Source organism: Homo sapiens, chromosome 6 (genome assembly GCF_000001405.40).
Source record: "Homo sapiens chromosome 6, GRCh38.p14 Primary Assembly".
In the NCBI taxonomy this organism is placed as follows: Eukaryota; Metazoa; Chordata; class Mammalia; order Primates; family Hominidae; genus Homo; species Homo sapiens.
The window spans coordinates 157,610,700-157,633,769 of NC_000006.12; the positions used below are offsets into that span (position 1 = coordinate 157,610,700).

General features: G+C 46.4%; 1 protein-coding gene across 7 annotated transcripts in view, besides 2 other annotated features; it reads left to right on the forward strand.

Annotated features, from left to right (window-relative positions):
- ZDHHC14 (zDHHC palmitoyltransferase 14) overlaps positions 1-23,070 on the forward strand; it is a 296,968-nt gene that overhangs the window by 229,510 nt on the left and 44,388 nt on the right. For all 7 annotated transcript variants that reach the window (NM_024630.3, XM_047419366.1, NM_153746.2 and 4 more), the window contains exons 4-5: positions 17,650-17,787; positions 22,135-22,183. In NM_024630.3, coding sequence (NP_078906.2) covers positions 17,650-17,787; positions 22,135-22,183 — 187 coding nt within the window. The remainder of the gene's footprint in view (positions 1-17,649; positions 17,788-22,134; positions 22,184-23,070) is intronic.
- Positions 5,330-5,831: an enhancer, noted in NCBI's record as "H3K4me1 hESC enhancer chr6:158037061-158037562 (GRCh37/hg19 assembly coordinates)". NCBI's record gives its function as "activates a minimal SCP1, AML or CMV promoter by ChIP-STARR-seq in primed H9 embryonic stem cells {active_cell/tissue: H9 hESC(primed)}" and the evidence as "EXISTENCE:reporter gene assay evidence [ECO:0000049][PMID:30033119]".
- Positions 5,832-6,331: an enhancer, noted in NCBI's record as "H3K4me1 hESC enhancer chr6:158037563-158038062 (GRCh37/hg19 assembly coordinates)". NCBI's record gives its function as "activates a minimal SCP1, AML or CMV promoter by ChIP-STARR-seq in primed H9 embryonic stem cells {active_cell/tissue: H9 hESC(primed)}" and the evidence as "EXISTENCE:reporter gene assay evidence [ECO:0000049][PMID:30033119]".

The window sequence follows — 23,070 nt, forward strand, 5'->3', positions numbered from 1 at the left end:
TCCGAGCTCTCATCCTGAATGCAGAAAGCCAGAATGCAGATTTGTTCATTTTCAACAGATGACTGCAGGACCAACGTTGTCACAGGGGCCAGCATTCTCTCACCAGGCAAAGCCAGCCGCTTCTCTGCCTGGTATCAAGCTGCCTGGGCAGCCAATTCGTAATCAGAGTGCCAATTTATAAGTGTAGAATGAGAAATAGAACTGCCACAGGAAGCAGAATCACTGCCTGGTCGGCCCTGTGGGACTTTCTGGAGACTTCTGTCAAATATGCTCGTGTAAGACTGGGAGCCATGAATAAATGCACATTTTTGTTTGTTTTTGTTTTTGTTTTGTTTTTTGAGACAGGGTCCTGCTCTGTCTGCTGGAGTGCTGTGATGCAATCTCCACCTCCCGGGTTCAAGCCATCCTTCTGCCTCAGCCTCCCCGAGTAGCTGGGGCTATAGGCACGCGCCACCATGCCCAGCTAATTTTTGTATTTTTAGTAGAGACAGGGTTTCACCATATTGGCCAGGTTGGTCTCAAACTCCTGACCTCAGGTGATCTGCCCACCTCGGCCTCCCAAAGTGCTGGGATTACAGTCATGAGCCCCCGCGCCTGGCCAATATGTGTACTTTTAAAAAGTGCTTTGATAGAGGATTCTGATGTAAAATAATGCGTCTAACGTAAATTTTTTAAGGTATCACGTCTTTTTTATTCTGTGCATTTATTTAGAAACTGTTTATGACAAAAGAGTGAGATTACATGTCTAATACAGTTTTTTGGAGAGAGCATCCCTGGCCAATAGGAAAGCTTCAACAACAGAATTTCTGGGGCCTCCCGGGCACATTTTCATCCTGTTCTGGCTTTGTCAGTGATACTCAACTGCAGTGTCAGTGCCCAGTGCAAAGAGACCTTCTTCCAAGGCAAAGGTAGATGTGTGCCTGCAGGTTGGAGACGATCCAGCAAGGGAGGGTGGACTCTGGCCAAGTGCTCACCTTATTTCTGCCTGGAATTGTCAAACTGCAACTTAGCTTGAAAAATATATTTCTTCCATACCCAGAAAAGCCACAAGCGATTGCTTCATGAAAGTCTGTCTCTGTTCATCTGACTTTCCCTGTTTGTGCATCTTTTTGACCGGCTCCGTCCCTTTTGTGTGTGTGTGGTTCTTGGCTTTGTGGCTCTGACGAGTGTGTGTTTATACCTGTGTCTTGCTCCTTTTGCCTTCCGGAGTCTCTCTTTCTGCCAGGCTTATGTCTCTAGCTCAGACCTCTCCTCAGAGCTCCAGACATGCATATGCAGCTTCCCGCTGGACATGTCCACTTGGGGAGATAAAAGCACCCCAAATCATCTTTCCCCAGTGACCCCCCACCTTGCTGAGGGCCAGCCCCATTCACAGGCTACACAGACGTGAGGGTCCTACCGACTCCTTTCTCTGCCACACCCTGCTCACCTAATCCATCACCAGGCTCTGTACAGTTTGCTTACTAGGTGGATCCCAGCTTAAACCACTTCATCCCTTTCCTTCTGTGCACTGCCTCGGCCAGCTGCAAGCCGCCATCATCTCTCACTTTAACTGTGCAAAGGTCTCTCGGAGGACACCCACCATCCACTCTGCTCCTCATCTAATCCAGCCTCTATGCTGACATCAGAGTGACCGTTTCCAAACAGAATCTCATCACTATGGGAAGGAGGCCAAAATCCTTAACCTAGTATACAAGACCCACCTCTCTCGGCTTGCACCGTAGTCCTGCATGCCACCTGGGCTCCAGCCCCGAGGTCTCCTCTGGTTCCTCTCTGTTAATTCCTGCTCATCTTTCAGGGAGATGTTCAGGCGTGGGCTCCTCAGGGAAGCCTGCCACTGCACACACTTCCCATAGCTTTCTGTATGCTTCCTTCATAGCTCTGACCAGGGTTGTCATGGTATACACTGGGGATGTGTGGACTCGAGTGGCCGATGTCTCTGCCCACAGTTGGGTAAGCTTCAAGAGGCCAGGCCTGTGTCAGTTTCCCTTACTGTATTCCCAGCAGCCAACTCCTTGACTGGCATGCAGCTGCTCAGTTAGTATTTACTGAAGGAGAGAAGGGAGGGAAGAAGAAAAAGAGAATTTGATGCTCCTCTTGCTGTATCTACCTTCATGTCTCCATCGTAGTCTTCTCTCTTAGAGAAAAAAAAAAAAAGTATATTGCTTTTTTGGCCCTATGATGAGGTTAGTGTTCTCAACTGGGGGGAAAAAAAAAGCCTCGGGCACCCAATCTAAACTAAATGAAACCCATATCCTTCACCCTCAAACCTACCAGAAGCACAAATTTTAAAATGTCAGACTCCAAGAGAAATGATCATTTAAAAAAAATTAAGTCTGATCAAGAGCTAGTAATCCTTGCACAGTTCTGGGAGGGTGGAAATGCCATCACTGAAAATGACTCATGGTGTCTTTAGGTCTGTGACTGACGCAACCTACACGTGTATTTATCTACTCAACAGATATCGGAGGGCCTCACGTGTGCCTCCTACAAATTCGAATAAAACAGTAGCTTTCAAACTTTTTGTGTTTTACAGCAACTCACAGTAGGAAATACATTTTCTACTGGGATCCAGTGCACAGAGATGCACATAAAAGGCATGAAACAGTGCTTGCCTTTCTCAACAGAAGATGCCTTGATACTTTCTATTTTATTGTTTGTTTTTAGTGCTGGTCATGACCAGCTAAATCAATTTCATGACTCACTATTTGATCACAACCCTTAGTTTAAGAAATCCTGGAATAAAGCGTAATTAGAGTAGCTCCTTCTGAGTAGGCCAAGGATTCCATTGACTTATGCCGGGGTTAGCCCAGGGTGTCAGCCTGCCTGGGGCTGGGATTTTAGGTTGTATACCTCCGGGACCCTGGGGATGGCACATTTAGCATGCCACACGATAGGCACCTGTTGGCCTGCCTTCTTAGAACAGCTCAGTTTTAAATTCTGGTTGAAATAAATCATTTCAAGCAGCCTTGTTGGAGCAGTAGGCAGCCCATCCATCTCATCATCTGAAATAAGTTATTTCAGTTTCTGTGAACTAACCTGATAGGTCATCCATTCTTAACCTGGGGCCTAGGAATAGGCTTCGGGAAATTGTACCTAAAATGTGTGAGTGCACGAGAGTGAAGGGATCCATAGCTGTCATCAGAGTTTTAAACCAGTAAGGAATGAAAAAAAAAGTCTAAGAACGGTTGCCCTGGAGGCTATAAACAGTTTCTGATACTCTTGGAAAATAGTATTGAAAGGGCTGACAGTTTTAGTGTTTGCTGACTCTTCCTCTCGTGGTCTCCCTGATATTATATCCTTCTTCCTTGGTAAACTTGTTCCCATCACACCTTCACCCAGTCAGCCTCGCCCAGGCTAGAAAATGGCAGCTCTTGGCAAGCCCCCCCACCGCTGGCTGGTGCACCTGGGTGAAGACACCGCAGCTCTTGGTAGGGGGGATGGGGGGGCGGGGAGTGCAAAAGGCCAGGACCCAAGTTCAAGTCCTGTGCCATAGAGTCCTACATCCCATCAACAGTGCCCCACTGTGTGGTGTTTCATAAGGGAGCAGCCCCACCTCCAGGAACTTCACTCACAGCTGCTCACAAAAATTACAGTCAACTTTACCACATTTACTAGCTGACTGATTTACAGTCAACTTTACCACATTTACTAGCTGACTGATTTTTTTTTTTTTTTGGTTGATGTAAGCAGTGATCCATTTTAGAAAATGAAAAGTAATGAGGAAACTCAATATATAAAACAGACATAGGTCTAACTGCTGTAGTTCAAGGGGAAGAAAAGCCCCAAGGCTCTCCATAGAGAAGGGGCTGTTGACTAGGCCTTAACTCCGAGGAAATCACAACTTCCTCACTGTGTGATGTTCTTAGAAAAACTCTCTATAAATCCTCTCAGAAAACCCCATGGAATCGCTAGACATCGATCTGCCACAAATGGGAAAATCACATTCCCAGGCCGTAACACTATGGCAGTTAGCAGGGCCGGGGTCACCAGTGTGTGACCTGCTTCCTCACACGGGGCCCCAGATGGACTTCGTGTTCTGCTCTCTCCAGCTTGAAACTCTTCATGTTTTTTTTTTGTTTTTTTTTTGAGACAGAGTCTCACTGTGTCACCCACGCTGGAGTGCAATGGTGCAATCTTGGCTCACTGTAACCTCTGCTTCCCAGGTTCAAGCGATTCTCATGCCTCAGCCTCCCAGCTAGCTGGGATTACAGGTGCCCGCCACCACACCTGGCTAATTTTTGTAATTTTAGTAGGTGGGATTTCACTATGTTGACCAAGCTCGTCTCAAACTCCTGACCTCAGGGGATCCACCCACCTCCGCCTCCCAAAGTGCTGGAATTACAGGCATGAGCCACTGTGCCCGGCCAATTCTTAATGATTTTTAAGCAGCTGCCCCAAATTTTCATTTTGCCACGGGCCCCCGACATTCCATAGCCGGTCCTAACTGGTAGAACTTTGCCTGTTCTTTTGAGTGCCTTTGTTGAGAAAAGTAATTAAGGACCTGCTGACTGGACTGCAGTGACTCAGTGAAGTGCTTGCAGCTTTATGTGAACAACAAGAAACAAAAACAGCACACTGTATTTAGAGCTCCAGACGTCTGTGCGGACCCAAGTCTGCTGGCAGGGGTATTGATGTCGTACTTCGTCATTTCTGAGTGCCATTAGAGCCACCAACCTGTTCTGGGCCTAGGCTGGGTCTGTAAGCGCCCCTGTTCTCGTAAATACTTTATTTGTAGAGTTCCTGCTGCTGGGCTGGCCAGCACTTCCTCATTGTGTGAAATGTGTAGACACAATTGACTTCAGTTCTTGAAAAGTTTTATTTAGCTATGGAATCGTAGTATTTGAGTTGGAAATAACCTTTTATAGCATATCCGACTTGCTGAGGCCCAGAAACTGTGCACATCATATCACTAGGCAAAAGGCCAGGACCCAAGTTCAAGTCCTCTGCCGTAGAGTCCTACATCCTGCCAGCAGTGCCCATCATGTGGTGTTTCATAAGGGGGCAGCATCGCACCCTAGGAACTTCACTCAGAGCTGCTCACAATAATTACAGTCAACATTTGCCACATTTACTAGCTGACTGCATTTTTGTTTTGTTTTGTTTTGTTTTGTTTTGGTTGTTATAAGCAGTGATCCATTTTAGAAAATGAAAAATAATGAGGAAACTCAGTATATAAAACAGACATAGGTCTAACTGCTATAGTTCAAGGGGAAGGAAGAAGAGGTGAGAGAGGGGGCCAGAGGCCTGCCCAGCACCCAAGGAGCTCAGCTTGGAAACCCAGACCTCAGAGCACTCGGTTCTGCAGACACATTGGGGGTGCAGCCAGTGACAGGAGAGTGGGGCGCCAGCAGCATTAGGAACCACCCAGAGACTTCAGGCAAGAGGCTCCTGAGATGTCATTTGCACTGGAAGGCCCTGTTGGCAACAGTGTGGGGGACACATAAGGGGGGTGTCCAGGAAGATGTGACAGCGGCTCCTGCAAGAGGGGACAAGAGCCGGCACAGTGCAGTGGCCTTCAGACACTGGGGAGCAAGACAGGAGAGATCAGAGAGACCATGACCACCTCCTGCTGACCACCTGGATGTGAGGGATGAGGGGGCAGAGGGCATGAAATAAATGGGTTCCCCATGGGGGATGCCACTAGCAAAGAAGAGGCAGCTTGTGAGGAGGAGAGATTGCAGGGAGCTTGATGACCAGAGCTTGGGACCTGCGGAAGGGGAGGGCCCGTGGGACAATTAGGTCCACAAGTGTCCAGGGGGTCAGCTCACCCCAGGGAGATGCCAGGCCCAAGGCTGGAGCTGGACACTACAGAACCCACAGGCACCCTAGAGGACGAGCGGCCCTGTGCCCAGCAGGAAAGGCTGCCAGGCCACTCCACTCCCAGGTGCACCCTCCCTGACCTGAGTGTGTACCGTAGACCAGACCTCGAACTGAAGGGACAGAGGGATTGTGGAATCTCAGATGTATGCCCTAAAATCCCAACCACACACGAGGCAGGAGGAACAGATACTTCGGGGGGATCAGACGTCCGGGTGCAGGGACAGTGTGCCATGAGAATGTTGGGAGACCCTACAGATGATGTCTGGGTGTCAAACGCCCCTTCTGCACACCTGAGAGTCACTTTGCTTCTGTTCCATGTTAGGCAAATCGGGATGGTCAGGACTGTCCCAAGAGAACCAGACTGAGCCACAAGGACCTCTGATGGGGAGTGCTGGACCCTGGGGTTCCCTTGGCCCCCAGATCTCAGATTATGGACCATCAGAGCAGGAATGCCCTAGGGGTCTTCTGACCATCACTCACCTTTTAGAGGCGGAAAGCCAAGCACCATCGTGAATATTACAAGCATGAATGGCAGCCTCATGGAAAGAACCCTCCAGGTGAATCTGAGCATATACAGGGGAACACCTGTTCCTCTTACCTCATATAACAGGCATTAGTGACAGTCACGAGACACTGCAGTATGTATATCTTTTTATTACCAGATGAGATATTATGTGAAAAAACCCTTGAAAAGTACACAGTACGGTGGTACATATTTGCATTTCTTTGCTTGAGGGTTCCCTGAGGAAAGAAACACAGATATATATGGCCTTATATCTTAACAATAATAGTAACGAGGTTGCGTCTTCAGTTTCAACTCAGAAAAATGAAATGTCTCTGAAGTTTTCCAGAGGGTCCTCGTTCTTTTTGAATTTTTTAAAAAATGGGTTCTGCTTGGACTCATCGCAGTTGGCTTCTCAAGGGAACTGGCATCAATCCATGAAGCCGTTGGGTCCTGCTCATAGACACAGCTCTCTGTGCCCAGACGATGTGGACTCTTTGCTACAAGATCCCAGAAACGTATTTACTTTGGAGAAGCATGCCAATTGGGAATACAACTTTCTCACCATGTATACATGTAGTCAGAAGGTTTTGAAGAGCCTGAGAATTGCTAGCTTTCTGTGCATAACATGCCCATGAGACAACTCTATTCTGAAATCTTTTATTTTGAGGATAAATTGACTGAGGGTTCAAAAGATCTTAAATAACTGGACATGAAAGAACATAAGAGTCACGAGGGTGGGGGAGCTGGAAAAGGCGGTGGGCAGACATCAGAAGCTGGTTCTAGACACTGGCAATTCCATTTCTCTCCAAGCTGCTTTCCTCGCCTGTCCTCTGGGAATCTGTACCACCTCTGTCACAGGGTAGAGATCGAGTGAGTGAAATACAGAATGTGAATGAATATCGAAAACCAGAAAGCATTACAAATGCGTCAGCCATTCCGAGCTAAGATGGCACTATTGATTTCAAGACCCGTAATTTCTAGAGAGTCATTGAGAAGTTTCTGAGGGGTGTTGGATGATAGCACGAGTTTGTTTTTCAATTTTGCAAGATAATTTGTTTTATTCCATGGAGAATTAAGGAGAACTAGGCATCGTTTCTGGCCCTGCAAACCCAAAGATGGCGTAAGGTCAACGCTGAGGGGCTTGGGTGGGACAGGAGTGGCGTGGACTTACTGAGGACTAAGCACTGCTCACGTGGAGCTTATCTCAGAGTTTCACAAACGACAGGTGGAGAATGACCGAAGACCACCAACACACGAAGACCGTTTTTGAGGCTATACAAATTTGAACTCACATGACTGATTTTTTTTTTTTGAGACCTAATCTCACTCTGTCACCCAGGCTGCAGTGCAATGGTGCTATCTTGGCTCACTGCAACCTCCGCCTCCTGGGTTCAAGTGATTTTTGTGCCTTGGCCTCTTGAGTAGCTGGAATTACAGGTGCCTGCCACCACACCCAGCTAATTTTTGTATTTTTAATACAGACGGGGTTTCACCATGTTGGCCAGGGTGGTCTCGAACTCCTGACCTCAAATGATCCACCCACCTCGGCCTCCCAAAGTGCTGGGATTACAGGCATGAGCCCCCGCGCCCGGCCACATGACGGATTTTACCATGGTGACGCAGAGCCCTGATTCAGCTCCTAGATTCTAGGAAGCTCAGAGACCTCTCCAGTGGGCTCTTATTCCAATTCTTAGCAAATAGGAGAGTGCTGGGTGGGGGAACTCAATCCTTCCCATCTAGTTAAAATTTCTCATTTCATATGATGACCCTCCACACACTATATTTGGGGAATTGTGGGATTTCCTTTCAGATCCTAACTGGCCAATTCACTTTTTAAATTATCCTCATTTCTACTCACTTGTTTACATCTCCTTTTAAGAATTATTTACATTACAAATGAAACCATCTTTTTTCACCTTCTTCCTCACTCGCTCAAGGCCTTTCTTTATCTTCTCAATGGCTTCATAATCATCTTTGTTTCTACCCAGCAGAGCTTACTCAGGGTGTCACTTGCTTCAGAATGCCGGCCTCTGCAGTGCACACTTGTCCTCCTCCTTGAATCACAAAATTCACCCAATTTTGGAAAGCAGGGTTAAAAAACAGGATTTATGGGGAGGCCGAGGCAGGTGGATCACTTGAGATCAGGAGTTCGAGACCAGCCTGGCCAACATGGTGAAACGCCGTCTCTACTAAAAATTAAAAAAAAAAAAAATCATAGCCGGGCATGGTGTTGCATGCCTGTAATTCCAGCTACTCGGGAGCCTGAGGCAAGAGAATCACTTGAACCCAGGAAGCAGAGGTTGCAATGAGCCAAGATTGCACCACTGTACTCCAGCCTGGGTGGCAGAGCGAGACTCCACCTCAAAAACAAAAACAAAAACAGAATTTAAACAAACTTGGAAAACAAGAAAATAGAAATGTGTAAAATTGCCTATTTGGGGAGCTGAAGGGACCTCTGTTGTCTAGTAGTCAAGCTCCGTCATTTCATGCCCATAGAGACTTAGCCACCTGCCAGGTGGTGGCAAGGCCAGGGCAGGAGCCAGTGAGACCTGGGTGGGGAGGGGAGAGACACCTTAGAGTCAGCCACATTGCTGTCCAAGGTTACTTTACATTGTAGCATAAAGGTCACAGCAGTGCTACATTTTACTAATTGGTTTTACACTGAAATGTTTTAGTTTTAGGGTTTGTTTTTTTTTTTTAACAAATGGAGCTAAATGCTGCAGAATGTTAATTTATAAAACACTGTCAAGGACTCAAAACCAGAAGAATTCATGCAGATACTAATAAAACAGAGTCATTGTGCATTAGATTTTCCCGCTCAAAGGCATCTTAGAGCTTATCTAATTGAACATTTTATCTGTGAAGAAATTTAGTCCCCATGTGGAAGTGCTATAATAATAGTTTAAGGACACAGAATTAGTTAATATGATTTCTTGATTTTGTTTCTTCATACAATTAAGCAGATAGGACTTATTTTCACAAAAGGAGCTGAGAAGAGAGTGTGGGGGAAGAAACCATACCTGATACATTGCTTTACCCAAGAGAACCCTCTGTCTTAGTCCATTTTCTGTTGCTATAACAATACCTGAGACTATGTAATGTACAAAGAAAAGGGATTTATTTCTTAGGGTTCTGGAGGCTGGAAAGTCCAAGATCGAGGGAATGCATCTGATGAGGGCCTTCTTGCTGATGGGGACACTGCAGAGTCTCAAGGTGGCCCAACGCATCACATATGGCGAGGGGGCTGGGCATGCTGGCTCAGGTCTCCCTTCCTCCTCTTATGAAGCCATGAAGGCCTCACCCTGATGGCCTCAGCTGCCCCTAATTACCTCTCAATTACCATAGTCAGATTTCTTATCCTCTTAATACAGCTACAGTGTGGATTAAGTTTCAATGTGAGTTTCAGAGGGGACAAATATTCAAACCCTAGCACCCTCCAAGCTCCACAATCGGAACAATAATGTTTGCCAAGCAGCTTTATCAAATCCATGTCTCTGTAAGAAGTTTCTGCTTCTTCCAACATTCACTTTGCTGAGGATGAGGCCACCTTGACTTGATTGAGGGTGGATATCTCCACACATGGGCAGGTTCTTTTCTTGTGCTGCAGAGTCCCAAGGGACCCTGGACACAAAGGCCAGGCCTGGTGTGGCAGGTCCCATTGTGGCCACATTCCTGCTGCCATGCTGGGCCTTGGGTACCCATCACCCGATCAGCCTGAGTGTCTGCTCCAGCAGAGACGCTTTGGGTCCTCAGGGCACTCTGGCACAGCAACCAGCAGAGAATTGGAGTGTGAGGCAGTCACAGGTGGTGGCTGAGGTGCAGATGAACGTGTGGGTTCCAATGCTGACTCCTCCATCTGCACTTTTCTTACCTGCAAAATGGGAATAATAACATTGAGTTCATCTGGTTTCATGAGAATTAAATGACACAGTCCATGTAAAATTCTTAGCACAGTGCCCAACACAAAGCAAGGTCAGTTAGAAAGATTAGATTAAAACAGGGGAAGGTGGAGTAAGGCAGGTGAAGTTGCTTTTCAGAACTCTCCTGAGTCATCGGACACAGTAGCAAAGCTTTTATAACTTAGATCTTACCAAAAGACCTAGAGCCGCATGAATCATTTACAGTCTAAGGAAGGGCTTGGTCCTCTAATCCTTCAGCTAGTTTAATATTTAAATGTTCCTATTGCATAATTTTATGAATTATGTGGTGACCATAGAGGCCAGATACAATATGTACCACTGGATCTCAACTTTCGTCTTTCTAAACAACAAATGGAATATACCTCATAGGGCAAAATTTTTCTAATTTTGGAGGTAAAAAAGCCCTACGTTTAAAGAAAAGTATTTTCTACTTCAGACCTTTAAAAACATGCGACTTAATTTAAATGTGATTAACATTTAAATTAGAAATTTAAACTTCAATTGCACATTTCCATCTATTTTCCACCAGATTCTCAAGATGCTCTTGGGGAACGAGGCTGGGATTCTCATTCCCCACATCCTGACCAAGCTGAGCCACCGTCTGCCAAGAGCCTGTGACCGCTGCATGGAAAATGCAGAATCCTGGCTCTGGGTCCCCTCTCCATTACCCATGCCTGGCCACAGGACATAATTTTTATTGAACTCTGGATCCACTCTTGAGGGCCTGTGTTAGAACCCGACTTCTGGGAGAGTTCAAATTCTTAACATTTCTTGCCAAACATTTCGTTCGATCTCCAGCAGCCTTCAGATACAACTTTTGCAAATACTTTCCCCTCAATATTTCAGTGGAGTTTTTGGTCCCTGTCCTATTGTAATAATTCTCTGCTTCTCCATATTTTTAAGGCCCCTTTTTCATATTTGATCTCTTCCAGAAATTAAATCTTCCTCTAATCTGAGGAAAGGCACAGCTGACTAAGCTCAGGATGGGGCCAGTGTCCTAACCTTTCTGACTGATTTCCTCCGCTGTCAGATATGGATTATAGCGCCTACCCCCAGGGCTGCTGTCAAGTTAAATGAAATGGTGCTTCCAGCAGATACTCAGTAACTGGTAGCTTTCCTTAATCCTTAATAATATTCTTTTCGGCTGGGCATGGTGTTCATGCCTGTAATCCCAGCACTTTGGGAGGCTGAGGCAGGTGGATCACCTGAGGTCAGGAGTTCGAGACCAGCCTGACCAACATGGCAAAATCCCATCTCCACTAAAAATACAAAAAAAAAAAAAAAAAAAAAAATAGCCAGATGTGGCGGCGTGCATGCCTATAGTCCCAGCCACTCGGGAGGCTGAGGCAGGAGATATCGCTTGAACCCGGGAGGCAGAGGCTGCAATGAGCCGAGATCATACCATTGCACTCCAGCCTGGGCAACAGAGCAAGGCTCCATTTCAAAATATAAATAAATAAAATAAAATTGTTTTCATCATTATTTAGAGTTTTAGGTTCACAAAATAGGACCATAGCTCTTTTTCCTGAACTATGTTCCCACTGACCACTTTAATGGAACCTTCTTTGCCCACTTAGGATCTGAGGGCAGGTGACTTGCATTCCACTGTAGCCTCTGGGGCTCTCACTGGTACCCCATGGAGCTTGAGTAAAACCACCCCTGCCTCCCACTATCTCTCTCCTCCCACTCTTTCTGCATGAGCTGATCCATGTGAACTGTTGTCAGCTCTTAGCACCTAGTCAGTATCTCCCAGCTCTCAGCCTTCTCAGAACGTATGCAGAAGTCCTGGAACCCTGTTTTGTCTTGTGCTTGGCATGCCTAGAATCTCATGTTTTGCCCGCGTTTGCCAGTGTCTTCACCTGGCAAGCTGGAGTAGTGATCGCTCATAAACCTACTAAACGAGATTGAAGACATTTCTGCCTTTACTTAATCCATAGTTACTGGGTGTCTACTGCATGCCAGGCACTTAGGTGCCAGGGCTCTGAGGGTGACTAGAAATGATTCCTCCCCTCTGGGAGCCAGCTGGATGAAAGAGGAGAGCAGGTCCACAGGTCACTGCAGGCAGCTCGGTGCCACCAGAGGCATGGCCAGGATCCCCGGGCTAGCTAACTCAATCTTGTTATTTTCTAGAACCTTCCAGGTATTCCAGCCATCCCCCACCCTCAGTATTCCATTCACCAGCTGGCTCTTAGGGAGTAGCTCCTCATCTTTTGATATGGTTAGGCTTTGTGTCCCCACCCAAATCTCATCCTTAATTGTAGTTCCCATAATCCCCATGTGTGGTGGGAGGAGCTGGTGGGAGGTAATTGAATCATGGGGGCAGTTTCCCCCATGCTATTCTCATGATAGTGAGTGAGTTCTCATGAGACCTGATGGTTTTATAAGGGACTTCCCCCTTCACTTGCCTCTCATTCTTCTCTCTCCTTCTGCCTTGTGAAGAAGGATGTGTTTGCGTCCCCTTCCACCATGATTATAAGTTTCCTGAAGCCTTGCCAGCCCTGCAGAACTGTGAATCGATTAAACCTCTTTCCTTTATAAATTACCCAGTCTCGGGTATGCCCTTATAGCAGCATGAGAACAGACTCATACATCTTTTTTTTTTTTTTTTTTTTTGAGACAGAGTCTTGCTCTGTCGCTCAGGCTTTAGTGCAGTGGCATGATCTCAGCTCACTGCAGCTTGCACCCTCCACCTCCTGGGTTCAAGCGGTTCTCCTGCCTCAGCCTCCTGAGTAGCTGGGACTATAGGCACACACCACCACACCCAGCTAATTTTTGTATTTTTAGTAGAGACGGGGTTTCACCATGTTGGCCAGGATATTCTCGATCTCCTGACCTCGTGATCTGCCCGCCTCGGCCTCCCAAAATGCTGGGATTGCAGGCGTGAGCCACCACACCCAGCCCTAATACATCTTTTAAATAAAGGAATCCTCCAGTGATACTGTGGTATAAAGACCACTCCCTTTTGGCAGGACCCAAACTTTAGAATCAAGGAATGTGGCAACAACTTCAAAGTGTTTGTTTAAAGAACTTCCCATCACACGTGCCCCTAACCCTACCCTGGCACACAGGACAGCCATTCAATTTTTCCACACAGAAAGTATAGAAATAATACTCTAAATATGGCTGTGTGGAGCTTCTCAGATGTGTTCACTTGGGCCCCTGAGAGCAATGTCATGTGTTGGTTGCAGTCACTTGCTCTCTTCCCAGCTCAGCTTGTGCCTAATTCTTGCCAACTTTCTATCCTGGACACTGAATGACACTAGCCTCCCCATTGGAAGGTATAACTCTAGCAGCTCTTTAGCTTCCGCTCCTCTGAGCGCATTCAGAGCTGGAGGCAGGAGGGTGGCTCTCCCAGCAGGACAGGATGGGCCACCATGTGAGGTCTCCCTGCTTTTCCATGGCCTGTTCTCATCCTTGACCTGAAAAGAAAGAATGCTGTCTGCTACCAACAATGGCAATCAAGCTGACTGACATGGAAGCTAAATTAGGAGTTCGTTCCTTGGATCTGAGGAATATTTTAGTGTCTGAAAATTGTGTCCTCACCAAATAACACAAGGAACTCTTTGAAGCCATGGTGTCCTATGTTGTGGCAGTTTCTTCTTAGTATTCCGAGCACCTGATACAGTGCTGGGTACATGGAAAATACTCAGTAAAGGCAGTGTAGCATTTAATGGACAGGAGCTCAGGTTAGGAGACAGATAGAGCTGGGCCCCCATCCCAGCTTTGCGATACACTAACTGTGTGACCTTGGGCAATGCACTTACTCCTGCAGATGTCCTTTTGATAAGATGAGAGTGTATTCAGTTACTTGACAAATGTGTGTTAGGCTTAGAGTAGGGTTGGCAGACAAGCACAAGTGAAAAACAAATGTGAGCATGTCTTAGTCCATTTTGTGCTGCTGTGACAGAGTACCACAGACCGGGTAACTTATAAAGAGCAGAGATTTAGTCCTTACAGTTCTGGAGGCTGGGAAGTCCACGGCCACGGGGCCTACATCTGAAGGGTCTTCTTGCTGTGTCCTCCCATGGCAGAAGGCAGGAGGGCAAGAGAGTGTGAGAGGCGGAGGGGGATCATTCCTTTATCAGGAGCCCGCTCCCACAATAACAGCATTAATCCTAAGCCATTCATGAGAGCAGAGCCCTCATGACCTCATCCCCTCTTCAATGCCCCACCTCTCAACACTGTTGCACTGGGGACTAAGTTTCCAACACACGAACTTCGGGGGACACATTCAGACCATAGCAGATGATTTCAGATGAAGCCAGGGTAAAGCCGATAGGACTTGCTCATGGTTTGGATGTGGGGGTGAGAGAAAGGGCGGGGTCAGGAAAGATGCCTGGGGTTCTGAGTTGAGCAACTGGTCAGATAGAGAGTCTGAAGAGGCACGTGTTTGGGGAGGGAGGACAGGATGTCCTCTCCAGGACAAGTCAAGTCTGAGGGCCAGTCAGGCCATGCAGCAGGAGTCTGTTGCTGAAGGTGAGAGGCCGCCGTTTTGGAGTCATCAGTGTAGAGTGGCATTTGGACCTTGAGATGAAAAGGGATTGCCAGTGAGAGAGAAAGACAGTCCATGGAAAAGAGACCCTGGGTGCAACTGATCATCAGATGTTGGGCAGAGAGGAAAGCACAGAAAGGGAGGTGGGGAGAGCACGCAGGCTCGAGGTGTAAGAATGTGGGGTGGGGATTAGGCCAGTGAGAACTCCGGCCTGAGGACTGTGATGCTTTCTGACTCCCCGGAGGCACCCGCCGAGCCTCTCAGACTCATTACCACCATAAACTCAACAAACACAACAGAGGACATGAAAAATATTCAGTAGGATAATTTCTCGGTGAGCCTAGATTTTTAGTGGGATTCCTGCCACTAAAATCCCAGAAATAGTTTGCCAGAAAAAGTTTTCAATACAAGTTTCTAGACAGGAACTGCTTTTAGCTCAGGGCTACCGGAGAGCCAGGAGTTCACACTCATCTCTAAGACGGCGCTGGTTTCCCAAGAAGCTCCCAGACTCCACGAGCAACTGTCTCGTCCGCATCATCTGTTGCTTTCATTTCAGTAGTTACTCTGCCTCCGTCGGGAAAGCACAGTGTCACAGCTTAGCTGTTATTAAACTTTCTAAGCTAAAAATACAACCTGCCTGCTATGGTAGAAATGGTCTGTAGTGTGCTGCAAGACCTTCATGCTTCAGATGGGGTGTACCTGGTGTTAACGATGCCTCCCAGACCCTACATTCTTCTTTGCTGATAGGCGATTTTCACTTCAGTTGAGAGGCTCAAACCCACCGCATGTGGGATTGAGAGATCAGCTTTCCTAGAGTGAATAGGAGATTCCATCCCAGCATGTGCTTTTATGCCCCCAGCTTTCACTCTCATGCCCATTTTCTGTAGTCATACATTGAGAAGAAAAGTGGTTTCTCAAAATGATGGCCTCCAAGTCTTAGGAAATTCTGGCTGATTCAGATTTTTTTCTCTCTGTGCACGTTGACACATAGATAGATTTCTCATGATACAGACTGTGCAGATCAGTAACTCGGGGAAATGAGGTTTGTTCGTTGTCAATATTTAAACACTTAATTTTTTTTAGAGCTGTTTTAGGTTCACAGCAAAATTGAGAGGCAGGTCCAGAGAGTTCCCATCTCCCCCTCCCCTCCACATGCACAGCCTCCCCCATTATCAACATCTCCCATCATAGTGGATAAATTTGGCAGGATTGATGAACGTGCATTGATACATCACTATCATGCAACGTCCACAGTTTACATTAGGGTTCACTCTAGGTGTGGTACATTCTGTGGCTTTGGGCAAACGTATGGATTGCATGTTTCTGTCATTCCAGTATCACACAGAGTATTTCCCCGGCCCCGGGTATTCTCTGTGATACACCCGATACACCTGTGCAGCCCTCCCCAGCCCCAGGGAGGTTGTTTTTATTCAGGGTTTGCTTTTCCAGCTGGGGGGGGGGCGGCGGGGGCAGCAACACATGTTAACATGTAACTCACATGGGTAGGCTTATACAAATTATTTTCCCTGAGTGTCAGCATCTTATAGGCCATCAGCTTATCACCAAGCCAGGGAGCTCTGAAATCTCTCCTCAAGTCCTCTGCTCAGATTGGCTGTTTCTTATTACTACCACTTGGCAGGCAGCAATGATTATCTTGCACTTCCTCTGCCGCCACTATCATTCAGGTGTCCTCATGCCCTTTTCAAGAAACAAGCTTGCATTTGACCAAAAATGCAAGATGACCGATTTATGATACATGACCAGAAAGTCATGATACTGACTGCCTTGCCTAAGTTTATAATGTTTTATTTATATGGTCACACCTCATATAGCACTCCCGGTATATTTTCAAGCACATAGAGATAGATAAAATATGAAAACTGGATACAAGTTCAGCTTAGAAAACAGCCGGAGGAGAAAGCTAAGTCATATGCCCAGCGGTGTCCTCCCCAGCCGCCACAGGCAGTCTTGTATGAGCGAGTATGTTAGAATGGTGTTCTCAATAGAAGATCAGCTGAGTAGTCAAGAGAAGCCCTTTGCCATTACTTGCAAGGGGAAGAACAAATCTCAAATGCATTACAGACTTTGTGTGCAGATGTCCAGGTGAGAGGCCTGGGGTCTGCACTTAGGGTACCATGGGTAACCATGTGATGATGCCCATATCGGACCCTCTGTCATTTATAAAGTGCCAGAGGCGGCATGGACAGTAAGAAGATGGGAGCAGCTCTGAAAGGCATGGCCTCAAGTTCTAGTTCCACTGCTTCTGAGCTGAATGGCCCCGTGCAGGCAGTCTCCCATCTCTGTAAGCCTCAGTTTGCCCATCTGTAAAATAGGGTAACACCATCGTTTTCTTCATAGGAATGTTTTGAGGCCCAATGCATTAATAAATGTGATGGATATCTGCTGAACGGTTGTAACTGAGGACAAAGGATTGTCCCTCTGTCCTGTCCCAGGCCCCTTGTGGCCTCTCTCTATGGCCATTTACTATGCAATGCAGGTCACTTGATCGACATCCAGCCCCAGCCCAGAACTTACCATCAGGCGGTGTTGGTTCCCTCTTAAGGGAAGGTTGTTCAGTGAATGCAAAGAAGTTTCTTTTACCAAAGAGAGGAATCTTTACTTTCCAAAAGAAATGAGAATTTGCCCTCCTGTTTCTTTAAGTTGCCATTTGAGAAGAATGCATATGCTTTGTTTTTTCAAAACAGCTACGTTCTGTTGAAAGAATGACGATGTCCTTGAACTGTCTTGATGAGAAACATTTCTCTGAGTGGTTAATTTGGAAATATGCAGAATAATATCATTGTGTTATACTATCAGAGTATTGGGTGGGAGGGGCGGGGCTCCTGCAAGTAAAAAGACATTTTATTAATTGATTTCCACTTTTTTTTTTTTTCTGCCTCTCATTTCAGAACGGTTTGATCACCACTGTCCCTGGGTAGGCAACTGTGTGGGGAAAAGAAACTACAGATTTTTTTATATGTTTATTTTATCTCTGTCTTTTCTGACAGTCTTTATATTTGCATTCGTTATCACCCACGTCATTCTTCGTAAGTATGCTGGCGAAATCAGATTACGTATGTAACCATTTGCCTGACTTTGATTTTCCTATTTGATTTTGATTTAATATTTTGGTCATTTCGGGCTTTCTCTTTCCCTTTCTTTCTCCCTTTCCCCTCCTCACTTCCAGCCTGCCTCGCTTTTGTTTCTCACCCTCCTCCATCCCTCCTCCGTCCCCTGTCATCCCCCACTCCCCACCCCATCTTTCACAGCACTTTCCAGGGGTCGCACCTAGGCCAGGCTGCGCTTTCACCAAACAATACCTCCTCCTTGATACGCACATCCCTATTCCAACCTCAGTGACCTCACTTTTTCTCCTGCTAAGGGGTCCCCTGGAAGACTCATCCCCACATTTTGCACAAAGGACAATGTGCTGCAGTGATGACCATTGAAGAGCAGAGTTTTCTTCCTTAATGTGATAATCTCCTTATGTAAGAACAGTCACCAGTCACCCTCCCTAGAAAAGATGTCTGGTGAGAAAGACTAGGTTTTCTTGCACACAAATCTATATAGGTTAAAAACATACATTTGACAAGATGTTTACGTATCTGCTAGAACATGAGCTAACTACCCCTGGCATATATATAAAGGAAGCAACTTTGATTAAAAATTAGATTTGGAAATCAATTATTTTAATATCTATTTGCCTAAGCAAATGGCATTTTTTCATTTTCCATTCTGAGGGTTATAACTTTGAATTGCTTTTGTCTCTTGGTCATTCACTTTTCTACAATAGAAAGTGATGAGAAGGAAGTGAATTTGCCTTGAGTTATAAATTTAGGCCTTTGAACTTCCATTACAGTACCAACAGCAACACTAAGCACTAGCCTTGCCTCTTGTCCGCATTCCTGAAGCATAACCCTTCATTAGCAAGTCCGTAGCTTCTTTCTGGAATGTTTCCGTAAGTATCTGCACAACGGCTTCACTTCCTTCCCAGGCCGCGGTGCTCAAACCACAAATGGCGTGGGCTGGGCTCAGGCTCACGTTAGGAGTACATCTTCCTCCCTTTCTCTTCTGGTGGGTTCGTATGGGGGTGGGGAAGTGGGTGGGAGAGAATGTTTTGCATTCATTCTTTTTGAATATTAGTCAAATTGGGCCGTTAAATGGAACATCCCAAATTTTCATAGGTACTTTCAATCCTAGTTGCCATTCTTTCTGACTATAATCTTTCATCCAAACGTGACACAAATGTGTAATATGTGCTTGAGAGCCATGACTTGGTGGGCTTGCAAGAGGACAATGGACACCCGCCTTTTCCACATCAGCTGGGCAGGATGCAGACAGGGGCACCCTCTCCCTCTATTTTCAAAGTCCTCAAAATGGCAAAAATGTGGCTAGGGTCCTATCTGTGCATTAATAGACAAAAGAAGCAGAGAGAATGACTAGGGCATTATATGTTATTTTCAAAGAAGCAGTTGTTGACACAACTAGGGAAGAAATACGAACCGATCCTCCAGCACACACGTAACACTGAAAAGCAGTGTTTAGACATTATTTATTTTTATTTTTGAGATGGAGTGTCGCTCTGTTGCCTCAGCTGGAGTGCAGTGGCGGGATCTCGGCTCACTGCAGCCCCTGCCTCCCAGGTTCAAGCAATTCTCCTGCCTCGAGTAGCTGGGATTACAGGCGTGGGCCACAGCACCCGGCTGATTTTTGTATTTTTAGTAGAGATAGGGTTTCACCATCTTGGCCAGACTGGTCTCAAACTCCTGACCTCAGGTGATCCGCCTGCTTCGGCCTCCCAAAGTGCTGGGATTACAGGCGTGAGCCACCCCACCCGGCCTAGACATTGTATTTTTATATCACCTTTCACAACCTCAAGATGCTTTTGTGTGTATTATGGGATTGTATTTATGGCCTTGTCCCTGCATTGTGGATGTCAAGGGCCAGTTGCCACGTGCTTAGTCATATACCTAAACTCAGGGAACACACACACGCATGCTTATGGACTCACACACACTCACACTCTTACCCACACTCATTCTAGCCACACTCACACTCATATATACTCACCAATACGCTCACACTCACACATATCCTTACACACCCACACTCTCACATACCCTTACACACCCACACACCCTTACACACTCACACTCACGGTAGCCACACTCATGTATAACCAATATGCTCACACATGTACCCTTACACACCCACACTCATACTAGCCATACTCACACTCATATATACTCACCAATAAGCTCACACACATACCCTTACACACCCACACACCGCCTTACACACACATACTCGTACACGCCCACACACACCCTTACACACCCACACACATACCCTTACACAGCCACACACATACCCTTGGACACCCACACTCACTCTAGCCACTCATATATACTCACCAATAAGCTCACACACACATAGCCTTACACACACATCCTTACCCACATTTACACACTCATACCCTTACACTGTCACACTCACATGTACCCTTACACACCCACACTCACACACACCCTTACCCACACTCACACACACCCTTACACACCCACACTCTCACACCTTTACACACCCACTCACACACATACCCTTACCCCCACACACCCTTATACACCCACACTCACACTCTAGCTACACCCACACTCATATATAGTCACCAATATGCTCACACTCTCGCACTCACATGCTGTCGTGCTCGCTCACATACCGTTGCACACTCACATGCTCTCACACACTCTCACGGTGAAATCTGTGCCTGCCACCACACTCAGGTTGCGATGTGTGTTTCACTTTTAGCTCCTCTAAGGTTTTACTCACCTGGCTCCACCAAACTGGATTTTACCATAGTCTATACTTAAATACTGTTCATCTCTTCTTCTACACAAAAGTATTAAGAATTTACCTGCCTGCAAGTTATTGGAATATCCTGGGCAAAAGCAAATAAAACTTTCCCTTTTCCCTTGTTTGACACCCCCTCATCAGTGACCCCCACGACACGACCCCACCACCCTATCTGGCTTGGCATGTGATGCTTCAGGAAGGGCACAGGGTTTCCACGGCTCCTGTTACCCTCTTAAGCCTCAGAAAACATTGGCACAGGCAGAGAGGAGAGCTGTCATCTGAGTCTCTCTGTGGGATCCTGGGCTCTTAGGGAAAGGCCAGACAGGGAGGGGCGGGAGAGATTTCTGTGGCCTCCAAGATTCCTGGGAAGGCGAAGTCTGGATTTCCTTGGAGAGGAAGGAGGGCTTAGGCCAGCCACATAATTAGGGTGCAGTAGACAAACAGAAATCATTTCTTTTGGTCCCTCATCTGCCTCAAGGCTGTGTTTGCTCCACATGGCCGCACAGGCACTTGCGTCTGTGCCCTTTGGGGCTGGCAGAGATGGAGGAGAAAGCCTTAAGCACCATCTCTCCTGATTAGCGCTCCACGCAGCTTCTCTTCACAGCCCCTCCCACACACTGTGTCCCACTACTCAGACACATGGGCCGTGGGCACAGAGGGAAAGGGACCTTGGGAAGAATAGGGAGCCAAGCCACTCTTCACCCTCCCAGGTGTCGCCCATAGTGGGGCACATGGGGACACGGTGGCCACTCACCCCCTGCCACTGAGTCCCACAGTGCAGCTGGGCCTGTGGTCAGATGCCACAGGGACACCATAGCACCCGTAGAGTGTGTCATTTCCTTGGTGCACGAGGGCCGGATGATGTCCCCAGAGGCTCACTGGCTTCCCACAGCACAGAGGGACCTGGCACCGCTACCCTAAGATGGAATTGTTAAAACTACCTCCATTTTTATTTTTAAAAGTATGATGTCAATGCATAAAATAAAAATTGCTTTCTGTCAGATGCTTCTTTATTCAAGCCCCTAAAGAAATGTTTTCTTGCCTAAGACAGCTCATATTAAAATGTCTAAAGCCCAAGAGAAGTCTAATAAATTTCAGCTTTATGACTTTGTTTACTCTGGGTGTAGAAAAAGAATTCTTTTATACGTAGCCTAGTTTCCAGAACTTCCAGGGTCAAAAGTTAACAAATTTGGGGAAAACAGAAGAGAAAAGATAGCATACAGTATTCTGTTTTCCTATTAAAATGAGGAAAACAAAGGAGTCATCAGAACTATAATTTACGGGAAAGTGTGCAGACATCCATCTGCTTTTATTGAAAAAATACCCTGCAGATGTTGGGCCTAATTATGAATCCTCCATTTTCTTGATGAAAAACTTTAGTGGCATCTCAATCTCTGATCGGTAAACTGGGTGTCGTAGCACTTACAAAATAGAATTATTTCATTGATCTTTAGCCATCTATTATTTTTTTGTAGATGAGAGAGCATTCAGCATGAAGGCTGTTTCTATCTGAATACTAAATGTTGGTTTCATTCCCACAGGTTCACAGCAAACAGGATTCCTAAATGCCCTTAAGGACAGTCCTGCAAGATATCCTTTGTGATGATTCTGTTTTCACGATGCTAATGTGTTGAGTATCTGGCTGACCTTCTGTGCGCACACCTCCTCATCTTCTGCCCCGGCCTTGCTTCTCATGTATCTTATTCCAAAGAACTCCCTCAGATTCACTGGCACGAGTAGTAGCTTCTGACTACTTCCATCCCTGAGTGACTCAGCCTGTTTAAATCGAGGGCTAGGAAGCCAAGTATGAATTCTTATCCACCCCCAGAAATCAGCATGGATTTGTGTTCAGTCAGGTTGGTTTGGGGAGAAGTAGGGCTGTGAGCTGCAACTGATCTCATTTTGATTGGCAGGTGGTCCACACAGAACATGTAGGGATGCCCACGTGTGGGTTGCATCCTGGCATGCAGTCACCAGGTGAGAGTCCTCAGACCCCTCTGTTCCGATTCTGTTGGGGGTTACAGTTTGCCATTCGGATTACTGTATTATTTCCAGGAACAGAACACCCTTTTAAACCCTGAATAGATTAAAAATGGTCAGTCTCAAGTCATTTGGATTAATGAGGAGGATTCCCATCCTCCCAAGCATAAATATGGGGATGGACCATAGTATTTTGAATCTTGAAAGAAAAGCGTGTGCCCATTAAGTGCTTGAATGAGGTCCTATCCCTCCCAGGGGCCCCAGGCTTTAATACAGATGGGACCCCCTGATCTGGCTCGTCAGTGACCCAGTTCTCTTTCTTCCTCATATAATCAGGTAGACTGGACTTGAACTTCTCATTACTCTTCAGAGTAATTTCCGTCTTGAGGAAGGGAATTATTCGTTTTTGTTTGTTTTGTTTTGTTTGAGACCAAGTCTTACCCCATCACCCACCCAGGCTGGAGTGCAGTGGCACGATCTTGGCTCACTACAACCTC